We start from the raw sequence: 12,452 nt of genomic DNA, 5'->3' as shown, positions 1-12,452 counted from the left end.
GAAAGGACAGATGGAAGGGTCTCCCAGACAGGCTGGGTCTGCTGACACTTAAGAACCCAGCCCCAGAGAAGTCCCACCAGATCTGGCAGATGGTGGATAGCCGAGTCACATCTGCAGGCCTCATCCCCCATTTCCTTCCAGTAGAGCTTTGAGGGGGGCTTCCGTCTGTTTCCGGGGAGGCACAGGGAAGGCAGCAAGCATCCCCCTTAAATTCTCAGATCCAGGCCCTGGGCCCTAGGAGGTGAGACCTTGGCAGGCTCATCACATGGCACCAGCATCTGCTGAGTCAAGTCACAGACATGACTCCCCAGGCTTAGACAAAGGGTCAGAGCTGATCCAGTCTATGCCCCTGCCTTCATGCAGGAACCCTCTCTCCAGCATCTTCTGGAAGCCCACTGGTATGATTTCCACCTGCTGCCATTACTGGTAGACCCAGAGGATTCCATGCCTCAGTGTTCCCAGGGGCCCTCTCACTCCCCTCCTCCTCCCATCCCTGGAGAGTGGGAAATGTACCTGTAGGAATAGATGGGTTTTGGGAAGAGAGGCTGGTGCCCATCGGTGCTGGCCTGGGGTGCCATTCGCTGGTACTGATAGTGTGAGGAGCCCAGGTAGGGTATGGGGTAGCTGCCACCACCTGGCGAGTACTGAGGAGGTCAAAAGGGGCAGAGTGATTGCATGGTACCCAGCCTTTCCCAGGAGGGCCCTCCTCCCCATTTATATACATCCAGAGAAGGGGCTCAGGCCAGATTCTTCCCTCCTGGGTCATGGGCCCCATCACCCCCAAAGCAGAGCTGTCTGAGGGGCTGTGAGGAGATCCACACCCTGTAATTCAGGATCTCAGAGGCCTTAAAACCCTCTTCCTCCAGCTCCTTCCTCTCAGCCCTTTTGATGCTCTGGTTGCTATGGTGACGGGACCCTGCAGGGAGAGTATGAAGTGAAGCCCTCGGCCCCTGCACCCTTCCAGGAAGGTGCTCCCAGTGCCTGTGCATCTCCCAGAGCAGCTGGGCCGGAAGCAGGATGTCCAGCCTGGGCGTTTGCTGGGCACTGCCACCTTTTATGAGTTTCAGTGGCTCTTTGAAAGGGCCAGTCATGGTGGTGGACAGGTCGGGGTAGGAGGTGGTTTTACGGCAAAGGGAGTGGCTGCGGTGCCACGGATGGTGTTTTATGGGGGATGGGGGTAGGAGACTCTGACTCCCCCAGCTGCTCCAGGCTGAAGAGCTCTTTCCAGGTTACCCAAGAGACATTTAGTGCCTGAGTCACCTCGGTCCAGGCTCCATAAAGCCCTGGGTGTGGCCATCTTGAGAGGGGGTGCAGACTGCAGAGGCCATCAAAGCAGGGCCAGGCATGGTGAGGTCATTTAAGGTCTGGTGGCCCCTTAGTCCTTCTGTGGCTCAATCTCTGTCCCTGCCTCAGGGACATCCTCTACCCTGGGTCAGACCATGAGCCTCAGGATAGCTTCGGTCATTCCACCCAGGCCCCTCATGGCAGAGAGGATGTCCTCTCATGCCTTCTCTTTGCTTCCCTCTATCTCTTTCTTTTCCCTGCAAAGCCAGCAGTCTGACCCAGCCCCTCTCCCTTGCCTTCCTCCCTGGCTTGGCTGAGATCAGGGCCAGTGCCAGAGAGCCGGGTGCAGAACCTGCTCCACAGGCAGGGCCTGTCTCAGTGCCAGGCTGCAGGTGGATGGAGCTGGGCGCTGGGCAGCCACTTGCTCTGTCTTGCCTGGTGACTCCTGGGAGCTGCCTGGCTGCTCTGGGGCTCTTTTCTTTCTCCTTTAAAACTCCTCCATCCCATGCCAGTGTGGGGCAATTACTTGGCATCCTATACACTTGGGAGGAGCTGAAGCTGGGAAAGGAGGAAAGGGCTGAAGATGATGGGGACTTGGAGTCCTCTGGGTGGGAAGGTCCCCTAAGCCCACACTGGGTGCCCACCCTTTCTAGGCTAATAGAAGTTGGAGGCCAAGGTCACATAGCAAGATGGTGGCTGACTATACAGAAGCCCTTGTTCCTCGACCTGCTCGGCCTGTGTTTCACACCACACTCCTCTTTGCCCCTCTCTCTGTCTGGGGCAGCTCTCCTCCTTCCCCCATTTCTGGCTCACATCACAGCCCTGCCTCCATCTCAGCCCCACACTCTTATCTGAGGCCTCTCAGGCCTTGCCAGGGACTCAGACAAGCCCACCCCTGGAGGAGGGCAATTGCTTCTCTTCCCATTAACTATTCCCGCCACCTGCTGTGGCCAAGCCTAAGGTTCAGGGCCCTGCTGTCCTTATCTGCCTATCCTGGTGAACACATGCCATCACATAGACACCCACACACCACATACACACACACGATATCCTCAGACCTGGGGGAAGCAGGCCCACTTGCCCCAGACCCACCTGGTGGAAGGGGGGCTGGGAGGAGCAGTACATATGCTGCAAGGGAGGCTGGTAGCAGAACATCCCAGCACCACTCTCCAGAACTGGGGGCTTGACTTTGACCTCTGAACCCTGCTGGAAGAGAAAGCAGATGACTAGATTAGGCCTTATTTTCTCCCTTCCTCTTTCCTGTGTCTTGAACCTTACATAAAAGCAACCCCTATTCTGCTTCCCCCAAAGCTTATTCCTGGAGAACAACAGAGAACAGAGAAGGGCAGAGATTTTCCCAAGGGAACTCAGCAATTTAGTGGTAGAGCCGGGGCTGGAACTGACAGCAGTCCCTACGCCTCCCCTCACGGCAGGGGAGAGGCTGAGGCTGGGCTGTCCTGAGAAGTCAGGGAGACTTGTGCTGGGGTAGGGACAGGGATCTTCTGGAATAGCACAAAGGCACGGTGCTGACCTCACTCGACACGCCTGACTCAGAGGTCTCAGACCCTCTGAGTAGGTGTGCAAAGGACACCAGGAAAAGGTCACAGCTCCAGAACTCTCCCTGAGGATCCATGGTGAGGGGAGCATGGGTAGTGGCCAGACAGGCTGGTCCAGCTGTGGGCCTGGGTCCCTTCTGTTTCCTCCTCTGTACAGCCCCAGGAAGCTCCAGCAGGATCTCTGAATGGGGCTAGTAACTCCTCTCCGCTCTGACTCCTGGCCATCCCTGATGCAGAGCTTTTGCTCCCTGCTCCAGGGAGTCTGCACAGTTGCTGGCCTGCGTGAGTCCTGTGGATGCTCTCACACTGGGCATGGGGAGCCTGCAGCTGCTGCTAGCCATGATGGCCAGACTCCGCCTTCCCATGTGTGAGAGGCCGGCACAGAGTCCCAGGGCCTAGTGCAGAGCTCTCCGGTGAGTACGGACAGGAGGGTGTGCAGCTAGGCCCCGGAAGGTGGACAAGCCCTGGAGGAGGCGGATTGCACTTCCTGGGGTTACCAGGGGCCTTGGGAAACCAGCATCTGGGCCCAGAGGGGCAAATCAGCTGTGACCTCTCTCTGGGTGTGCCCTGGGGTTGTTGATGCAGAGATTGCCATAATCATAGAATCTCGGGCCTAGAAGGGCCAAGAGCACTTGTGTCCAACCCCTTCATTTGACAGATGATGGGGCTGAGCCCAAAGAGGGGAAGCAATATGCCCAAGGTCACCCAGCAAGTCGACCAGATACCTGTGTGTCTCTGGAGCTCTTCTCCATGTGTGGGAGGGCAAGGGTGTGAACTCAATCTCAGCCTCACCATTTGCAGGTTAGGAGACACCCTGGGCAAGTCACTTGGCCTCTATGAGCCTCAGTTTCCTCATCTGCAACACGGGTATGGTGGGAACTCTCTAGAGTGTTGTTGAGGGGATTAAATGGGGGCACTTGAAAGAAAGCACCTGGCAGAATGATTGGCAGCTGTTATTGAGTGGAGGTTTGGGGGCAGTAGCTGAGATGATGGTGCCCTATCTGTAGGCTGTGGTCATGTTTAAGGGGCCTGAGAAGAAGTGGTCAAAGGGCCAGAATAAAGTCCTGTTTTGGCCACACCTGGTAGGACCCAACCGCCTTCTCCATCTTCCTTCTAAGCCTTTGTTGGGGTGGCTTGGGGCTGGAATGGGGGCCTGTTTGAAAGCAAGAGGTGAGGGGGGCTGGTGGGCATGTGGAGTAGGCACTGCTGAGGCTACGCCCACTCAGTCACTGCCTCAGGGACCTCCAAACCAGAGCGGGGGAGCAGGGAGCAAATTCCCTTTAGCTTTTATCTTCCCTAAGCAACAATCCCATGAGACAGGTAATGTTGACCTTACTTTTCAGATGAGGCTCAGAGACGTTAAGACTTGTCCAGGGTCACGCCGCTTATGGAGGTCAGGCTATGGAAGGACATGTTAACCTTCCAAGGTATTTCCAGGAATACACCCAGGCCCCACTCTGGGCAAAGAATGGGGCCAGGAAGGGTCCCTCCACACTTAAAGTCCTCTCTCAACTCTGTATGCTAAGGCTGGGGAGGGAAAAACTGTGTACTATGGCTCCTCCCCAAACCCTTTCCCTTGGCCTCTGGAATGTGTTTTTCTTGTCACATTTGCATATGGGTGTGTAGGTCTGGCTGGAGTTTCTGGACATTTAAACAAACAGTGAGAAGTCACACACTGGAATCCTGACTCAGGAGCCTCTGGGAAGCTGCCAGCTTCTTTAGCCTGGCCTACCTCCCCCACTTGCCCCCCTCCATGCTGGCCAGGCCAACACCCCTCCCCAGCTGACCAGGAGGCCCCAACTCTCTGGTCTTGAGTGGCAAGGTCTGCAAAGAGAAGGTGGGACTTTGGTCTCAGAGGTCTGACTCTTTCTAGGCTGCTAGGAACTGGGACAGTGGGAAGATGGGACACTCGCTGGCCACTAGTACTCACCAGGACTTGGGGGCCATGCTCCTGGCTGGGGTAGGGGAGCCCGTTACACCAGGCCTCTGCTGAGAAGCCAGGCAGGAAGGCCTCGGCCTCCGCCACGTCCACTGGGATCTCCTCGAAGGCCTCCAGCGGCCCTGGGGTCTTAAAGGAGTGTCCTTTGAGGGCCAGGGTGGTCTCGGCCTCTGGGAAGACGTCCTCATGGAAAGGCCGCTTGTACGGGTGGAAGGGCGCGTGGCTGCCCTTGAGGAATCGCCCAGGGCTGCTTGCTGCGGCCTCCTCAAAGCCAAAGCCAGGATACTTGTCTGAGGGTGAGAGCCTGAAGGGCCCAGGGCCGGGGCCGGCTGGGCAGTGGCCCTGGACTTGCTCGGGCCCTGGTGACGCAATGCGGGGGCTGTGTGGGGGCAGTGAGGGTGTCCTCTCTGGAGGGCCGTCGGACACAAATGACGAGCAGCTGAAGCCGGCATGCTTCTGGGTAGACAGAGAGTAGCGAGCCTGTGAGTGGAGGCTGAACCAGGCCTGGGGACTGGCTGGGACCCTACTCTGTTCTGGGGTAAAGGGGGTCTATGGCTGAGCTCTGGGAAGACCCTAAATGGTGGAGAAGAAATAGCCTACCCTTGGCCCCGATTTCATGAGGGCACCCTGCCATGAAACCTGGGGTACCCCAAATCTGATGGGGCTCACAGCCCTGGGACAGGCTCAGACTGAAGGGATGAGGAGTGACCCCTCTGGATCTCGGGGTCCCTGAGGACTTGTTTGCTGGTGGAGGGGACAAGACAGGCCCTGGGAGGTCCCTGGGGGCGGTAAGGTGACTGGTCTTCTTGTTGCCTGGGCAGCCGCAGGCCTTGGCCTAAACCCAGGCCCAGATGCCGGGTACTTACACTCTGTGGGGCAGGGGAGCCTGGGAGGCCCGGTGCCTGCATGAGGTCCCCTTGGCGCTCGCCCTCCAGTCTGGTGGGGCCCGGCAGCGTGACGTCAGACTGCGGCGGGGGTAGCGACACCATCACCCAGTCCTGGCCTCAAAGAAAGCCGTCTGCCATGAGAGTGAGGACCAGCATCCAGTGGGGACCAACCCAGGTTCGCCACCTCCACCCCAACCCCATCCTTGGGCTGGGACCCTGCCTCCAGTCAGCCATCTGATGAGAGAGAGAGAGAGAGAGAGAGAGAGAGAGAGAGAGAGAACCAGAGAGCGAGAGAGAGAAAGAGAAATAGTTTGGAAAAGCAGAGCAGAGAGATCAGACCCCTGTGGAGAAAGGGCAAAGTGAGCCAGGTAGGAGCCTCAGGAGGGGCTTGGCTGATCTCAGGCTGCAGCTGCAGAGACTGACCGACTGACCAGTGAAACCCCGGCTCCCAGCTGGGCTCTGCCTCTGGCTCCTCAAGATCGGTCTCCTGTGTCTACAGAGAAGGGCCTGGCAAGGTGACCACAGCAGGTGGTCTCCATTCAGTGACTGGGCAAGTCGGTGGTCCTGAGGGGAGAGTGAGCTGGTGCGTGGGTCAGACTCATGCTTGGGGTGGGAGCAACCCCCTCCATGCAGGTGAGCCAGCCCTCAGCAGAGGCTGGTCCTGCAGTGACCCTCAGGTCAGCCTGGCTGATGTGACCACAGTGTGTAACTGGGGACCCAAAGGCCCCCGGTTGCCTGGAGGCCCTGTGAGCCCAGCGGGCCCTGACGATGTCACCACCCACACTGCAGCGCCTGGCAAGTGCTGTTCCACCTGTGTCCTCCAAACTCTAACCTGTGACTTTGTGCAGGCCACTGCCCCTTTCTGATCTTCAGTTTCCCCATGAAGACCTAGAGCCTTGGGTACATGATATCGGAGGGCTTTTTCTGCTCAGACCTTCTGCAATCATAGGGGAACCCTGTCCCTAACACAGTGGGGTGGTTAAGAGGACTCAGGCCTCAAAGCCGGGGTTGGCCCTTCCTCTCAAGCAGTGCCAGCAAAGCTCTCTGAACTTCAGCGTCATCATCTAACTGGGAGAGTGACAGGCCCCACCTCACACAGATGTTGTGAGTGTCAAACAAAATCATGCGCAGAAAGCATTCAGCACAGTGCCTGGTGCACAGTCCGTGCCCCATAAATGCCAGTTCTCATTATGAATATTATTGTGAGTGTGGTTCTCACTTTTTTTTTTTTTTTGAGATGGAGTCTCTCTCTGTCACCCAGGCTGGAGTGCAGTGGCATCATCTTGGCTTACTGCAACCTCTGCCTCCCGGGTTCAAGCAACTCTCCTGCCTCAGCCTCAAGAGTAGCTGGGACTACAGGCTTGTACCACCACACCTGGCTATTTTTTGTATTTTTGTTTTTATTTTTATTTATTTGTTTTTTTGGAGACGGAGTCTCCCTCTGTTGCCTAGGCTGGAGTGCGGTGGCATGCTCTCGGCTCACTTCAACCTCCACCTCCTGAGTTCAAGTGATTTTCCTGCCTCAGCCTCAAGAGTAGCTGGGACTACAGGCACATGCCACCATGCCTGGCTAATTTTTGTATTTTTAGTAGAGAAGGGATTTCACTATTTTGGCCAGGCTGGTCTCCAACTCCTGACCTCAGATGATCTGCCTGCTTTGGCCTCCCAAAGTGCTGGGATTACAGCCTAGCCACTGTGCCCGGCCTCTCACTCTTACTATCCTCAGCTTTTTGCCTTCCTTTACCACCTGCAAGAGCAATTCCTCTTAAATGTACTTCTCTTTGCCCAAGTGGCCTCTGATAAATGCTACAGTTTGCTGAGGGTCTGCTCTGGGCTGGCCACTGTGTGAACAATTTGGATGGTTTTCTCATTGATCTATTAGAACAATGAGAGGAAGGAGCATTATTGACTCCACCTTCCAGATGAGGATGCTGAGGCTCAGCGGGGTTATGTGACTTGCCCAAGTCGCCCAGGGGCAAGAACTCTGGTCTGTCCGACTGCAGACTCTGCACTCTGCTTATGGTTTCTTCATTGGGTGGGTGTCAAAGTTGGGGTAGGCTAGGCTGGGAGGCCAGGCATCAAGAAAAGCATGAGGTGTACACTCACTCCTTCTACCCAAGACCCCCTCAAGCCAGAGCAGGGCAGCTGTGCTGTGCCCAGGCCATGCTCTTTCCGGAGCTCTGGGAGGGAGAGGTGGCCTCATTGGCCCCGTGGTACCCAGGCTGGGGTTGGCACATCTTTGCTGAATAAACCATCAATAAGCCTCATTTGACAGACAGGGTAACAGGGAAAATGAGGGGAGGCAATTTGCCCAAAGTCCCATAGGATTTGCCCAAAGATCCCACAGGGGATCAGTGGTGGAGGGGCTGGAAGCCGGGGTCTAGGTGGGGGCCTGGTGGGAGGCTCTCCCGCCCCTTCAAGAGTCCCCACCACCCCTTCTTGATGTCCTGGCGCCTGCTCACTCGGCAATGCTAAATGTGGCGTGACCAGGGAAGCGCCGAGCTGGCCGTAACGGGACACCACAGCGGAGCAGGCATGGGGCCCGAGGTGCGGGGCAGCCCACCTCCCGCTCCGCATCACTGCCTCCTGCTCCCTGGACAGCTCCTCCTGGAGAGCTCGGGCCTGCCTGGAGGCCACACCTCACCCCGGCCCAGAGCTGCCTTCTCAGGAGGTGGTGCAGGGGGCTTGGTGCAGGGGGCTGGCATTCTCCAGCTCCAAATGGGAGGCCGAGGGCCCTTCTTCCCCGCCAGATCTCAGGCTTTGTAACCTGGGGAGGGTGGCCACTCCCCTCCCTGCAGGTGGGGTAGCACGGTGTTTTAGAGCAAGGATTTGGAGTCAAGCCCAGCTGAATTCCAGCCCCAGCTTTGTCACTTTCTGGCTGTGTGACTTTGAGCAAACTGTGTAGCTCTCTGTGCCTCACTTTCCGCATCTGAGAAATGGGGCACACAGACCCACCTCGCAGGGTCATCGTGAGGATGGTGTGCACGAGGTGCTGGCACAGGGAAAATGCTCGAGGACATGTGTCATGCATCTGGCCACTGCTGGCCAAGTGTGGCTGCAGGGGCCTTTGGCCCCAGGCTCTACAGCTTCTCTGATGCTCTCGTTGCCTCAGGCCTGGCAGTCCTGGGGCGATTGGCTGAAGACCCAGCCCCAGGTGGCAGCTGCCCTTGCTAGCCCTCCTTGCCTGCCTGGCCTTCACTCAGCCTGGCCTCAGACCCCAGCACTGCTCCCCTGCAGATGTGAACCTGGGGAGGCCTCTCTGAACTCCAGCTCAGGCCTGCACCACCTCCTGAGGGTCTGGCCTGCCCAGAATGATCCCCGCAGTGTCGGCCTCACCCCATTCTTGCACCTGTTCCCTATTCTCCAGAACATCATCTCCAGCTCCAGCCAAGTTCCTGTATGTCAGAGGCCTTAACAGAGGCTTCAGTTCACAGCCATGACTTTCATAGCCTTGCTTGGCCAAACCACCCTGCTACCTCCTCCAATCCCCCGGGGACAGGATGAGAACCAAGGAAGTTATGCAGAGTTCAGAGGCCCACCCCTTAATTTGCATTAAGGATGCAGAGGTTCCTGACTGGTCCTCTGGGATTCCTCTGGGCAGGTTTTGTAAGTGGGGACTCCTGATTTGGTGACCATGATGCCCCCTTGGTTGCAGCTAAAGCTCTATTCTACAAGTGAGACCCAGGGAACAGGTAAAGTGACTTTCCTAAGGCCACACGGCCCAGGAGAGAGGGGGTCCTCAGGGGCTGGTCAGAAGCCCTCTGACTGGTGTTTATGAGGGGCTCCTGTCCATCACTGGGAAGGGCTCACTGCAGGAACCTGGATGAGGCTGCCTTGGCCCTGACCCTTCCCTGGAGTAGCCGGCAGAACCCCTGAAGCTGGACGACCTGGAGTCAGGGCTGGATTTGAATCGCAGGAACTGTGGGACTTTGGTTGGGCATGATGCTTAACTTCCTTCCCCATGCCTCAGTTTCCTCATCTGTAAAATAGGACTAATAAATACTTACCTCTCTGGAGGATTAATAAAATATTGCTTGTAAATAGCTTAACACATAGTACATGCTCAATAAATGATAGCTATTATTAATAATTAGCAGTGGGACAGAGTTTGTTTAAGGCCTGAGTTATGGGGGTGGGGGGATCGGGAGCATCAGGAAGGGAACTCCCCTTTCCTGCCTTCTCCTACCTTCTACCTCCAGGTCCTTGACATTGTCCTCTCCCATTGGCAGAGGCTAAACTTCCCTCTTCCTGACTCTCTGGCCTCAGAGGTCATTTCCGCCTTTCCCATGTGGTAGAGCTAGTGTCTGTAGAAACTTCTGGGACTTATGTGGAGAGGAGGGGGGTTGACTCTCTTGTTTTGGATCTCTCGGGAGGTCTCTCTGCTGGCCCCAGTGTCCTGGGGCTGACATCTGCATTCAGAAGGGATCTTTCATAGAGGTCCAACCTTTATCCTGCCTGTTCCAGTTTCAGGGAGCACTGGAACTGGATGGGATGTGTGTGCAAGTATCAGCAAATACCAGCACAGGAGGCCCAGTCAGCTCTCCTGCCTTCTCAGATTCCGGGAGCTCCTCCAGATCACTCTCATGAACTGCCCCTCAATATGGGTACCCACAACCCACAACCACCTGCTTCCTGGACTAGAGGCTGAGGCTCTCACTGGCAGACTGTGCCCTGGGGTCCCTTTGCCGCAGTTCCACATCTGCAGTGCACTCTGAAGTTTCCTCTGCACTTTTTTTTTTTTTTGAGACAAGGTCTTGCTGTCGCCCAGGCTGGAGTGCAGTGGCACAATCATCACTCACTGCAGCCTCGACCTCCTGGGCTCAACTGATCCTCCCGCCTTAGCCTCCCAAAGTGCTGAGATTACAGGTGTGCACCACCGCGCCCAGCCCCTCTGCACTTTTGTATCTCTTGTCTCATGTTATCCTCCCTTTGCCCCAGAGGGTAGGGGGCAATGGTGTGCAGAGCCAGTTGGCAAGGGCTCATGAGAGCCAATTGTGCCCATTTCTTCCCAACTCCATATCCAGTGAAATTGGTGGAGATCAGCCACAGTGGGAGTATTTGCCCATGGAAATTAGCAAATCCTACAAATCAGAGCCTTTTTAAACATTATGATTTATTTACTTTTGAAAGCTGACTGGTGAACATTTACCAACACACCACTGTCAGGGGAGCAAGGTCATCAAGCCCATTTTTTTAGGGGAGAAAATTGAGGCCCAGAGAGAAGAAATGACCTGCGCAGGGTTACACAGCTGACTGAAAACCACATCTGACTCTCAGTTCTTGAGAGCCATGACCATACCGCCAGATGCTCACTCTCCAGGAGGGCACCCCTGGCAAAACCTTGACCAAAGACCTTTTCAGCGTCTGGGCATTCTGGCCACCTTCCGCCTGCCATGATCCTTGGGGAGCGGGGATGGAAGAGGTGGACTTGATCTGCCCTGGCATCAGAGAGAAGAAAGAAACGGCCCTTTGACTTGAGTAGAGGGGATGACGAGTGAGAAATTTCCCAGAAAGGCTGACAACAGGATCAATAATCATCAAGGATCAACAGTCATCATTACTGCATTCCTGCTCTGTGCCCTTCTCACAAACAGCCGGCCTGCGCCCGCTCTACCCATCAACATCTCCCCACCTCTCAGAGAGCCTTCTCTTGGCTCCTTAGGACTCAGGCAGAGGGGGCCGTTTAGGAGTGGAAGCCAGGAGACATTGTGCTGGCTGTGTGATGTTGGATAACTCACTTCCCCTTTCTGTACTTCAGTTCCTCTATAAGTCAAACGAGGCCCTGGGACCATTTGCATCTAAAGATGCTGAGGCTAATCCTGTGGAGGTGTGTACCTGGTGGAGGAGTGTACCCTGCGGAGGTGTGTACCCTGTGGATGTGTGTACCCTATGGAGGTATGGATCCTATGAAGGTGTGTACCATGTGGAGGTGTGTACCCTATGGAGGTGTGTACCCTGTGGAGGTGTGTACCCTGTGGAGGTATGGATCCTGTGGAGGTGTGTATCCTGTGGAGGTGTGTACCCTGTGGAGGTGTGTATCCTGTGGAGGTGTGTACCCTGTGGAGGTATGGATCCTGTGGAGGTGTGTACCCAGTGGAGGCATGTACCCTGTGGAGGTGTGTACCCTATGGAGGTCTGTACCCTGTGGAGGTGTGTACCCTGTGGAGGTATGGATCCTGTGGAGGTGTGTACCCTGTGGAGGTATGGATCCTGTGGAGGTGTGTATCCTGTGGAGGTGTGTACCCTGTGGAGGTGTGTATCCTGTGGAGGTGTGTACCCTGTGGAGGTATGGATCCTGTGGAGGTGTGTACCCAGTGCAGGCATGTACCCTGTGGAGGTGTGTACCCTATGGAGGTCTGTACCCTGTGGAGGTGTGTACCCTGTGGAGGTATGGATCCTGTGGAGGTGTGTACCCTGTGGAGGTCTGTACCCTGTGGAGGTGTGTACCCTGTGGAGGTATGGATCCTGTGGAGGTGTGTACCCTGTGGAGGTATGGATCCTGTGGAGGTGTGTACCCTGTGCAGGCATGTACCCTGTGGAGGTATGTACCCTGTGGAGGTGTGTACCCTGTGGAGTTGAGTACCCTATGGAGGTGTGTACCCTATGGAGGTGTGTACCCTGTGGAGGTGTGTACCCTGTGGAGGTATGGATCCTGTGGAGGTGTGTACCCTATGGAACTATGGATCCTGTGGAGGTGTCTGCCCTGTGGAGGTGTGTACCCTGTACCCTGTGGAGGTGTGTCCCTGTGGAGGTGTGTATCTTGTGGAGGCATGTACCCTGTGGAGG

The 12,452-nt window shown here is 56.1% G+C and overlaps 1 protein-coding gene across 13 annotated transcripts in view; it reads right to left on the bottom strand.

The window, feature by feature from the left end:
- Positions 1–12,452, bottom strand: part of FOXN1 (forkhead box N1) — a 32,553-nt gene that overhangs the window by 9,163 nt on the left and 10,938 nt on the right. For 4 of the 13 annotated variants that reach the window (XM_011525359.2, XM_017025229.2, XM_017025230.2 and 1 more), the window contains exons 2-5: positions 5,646–5,777; positions 4,771–5,235; positions 2,377–2,490; positions 514–644 (exon numbers count right to left, since the gene is read on the bottom strand). In XM_011525359.2, the coding sequence (XP_011523661.1) occupies positions 514–644; positions 2,377–2,490; positions 4,771–5,235; positions 5,646–5,768 (833 nt within the window). In that variant the 5' untranslated portion in view covers positions 5,769–5,777. The other 9 variants (XM_011525358.2, NM_001369369.1, XM_011525362.2 and 6 more) reach the window with 9 other exon arrangements.

The sequence above is a fragment of the Homo sapiens genome, chromosome 17 (assembly GCF_000001405.40).
Source record: "Homo sapiens chromosome 17, GRCh38.p14 Primary Assembly".
Taxonomy (NCBI): Eukaryota; Metazoa; Chordata; class Mammalia; order Primates; family Hominidae; genus Homo; species Homo sapiens.
Note: the sequence above shows the minus strand (reverse complement) of the source record. Positions and strands in the feature narration are given on the sequence as shown.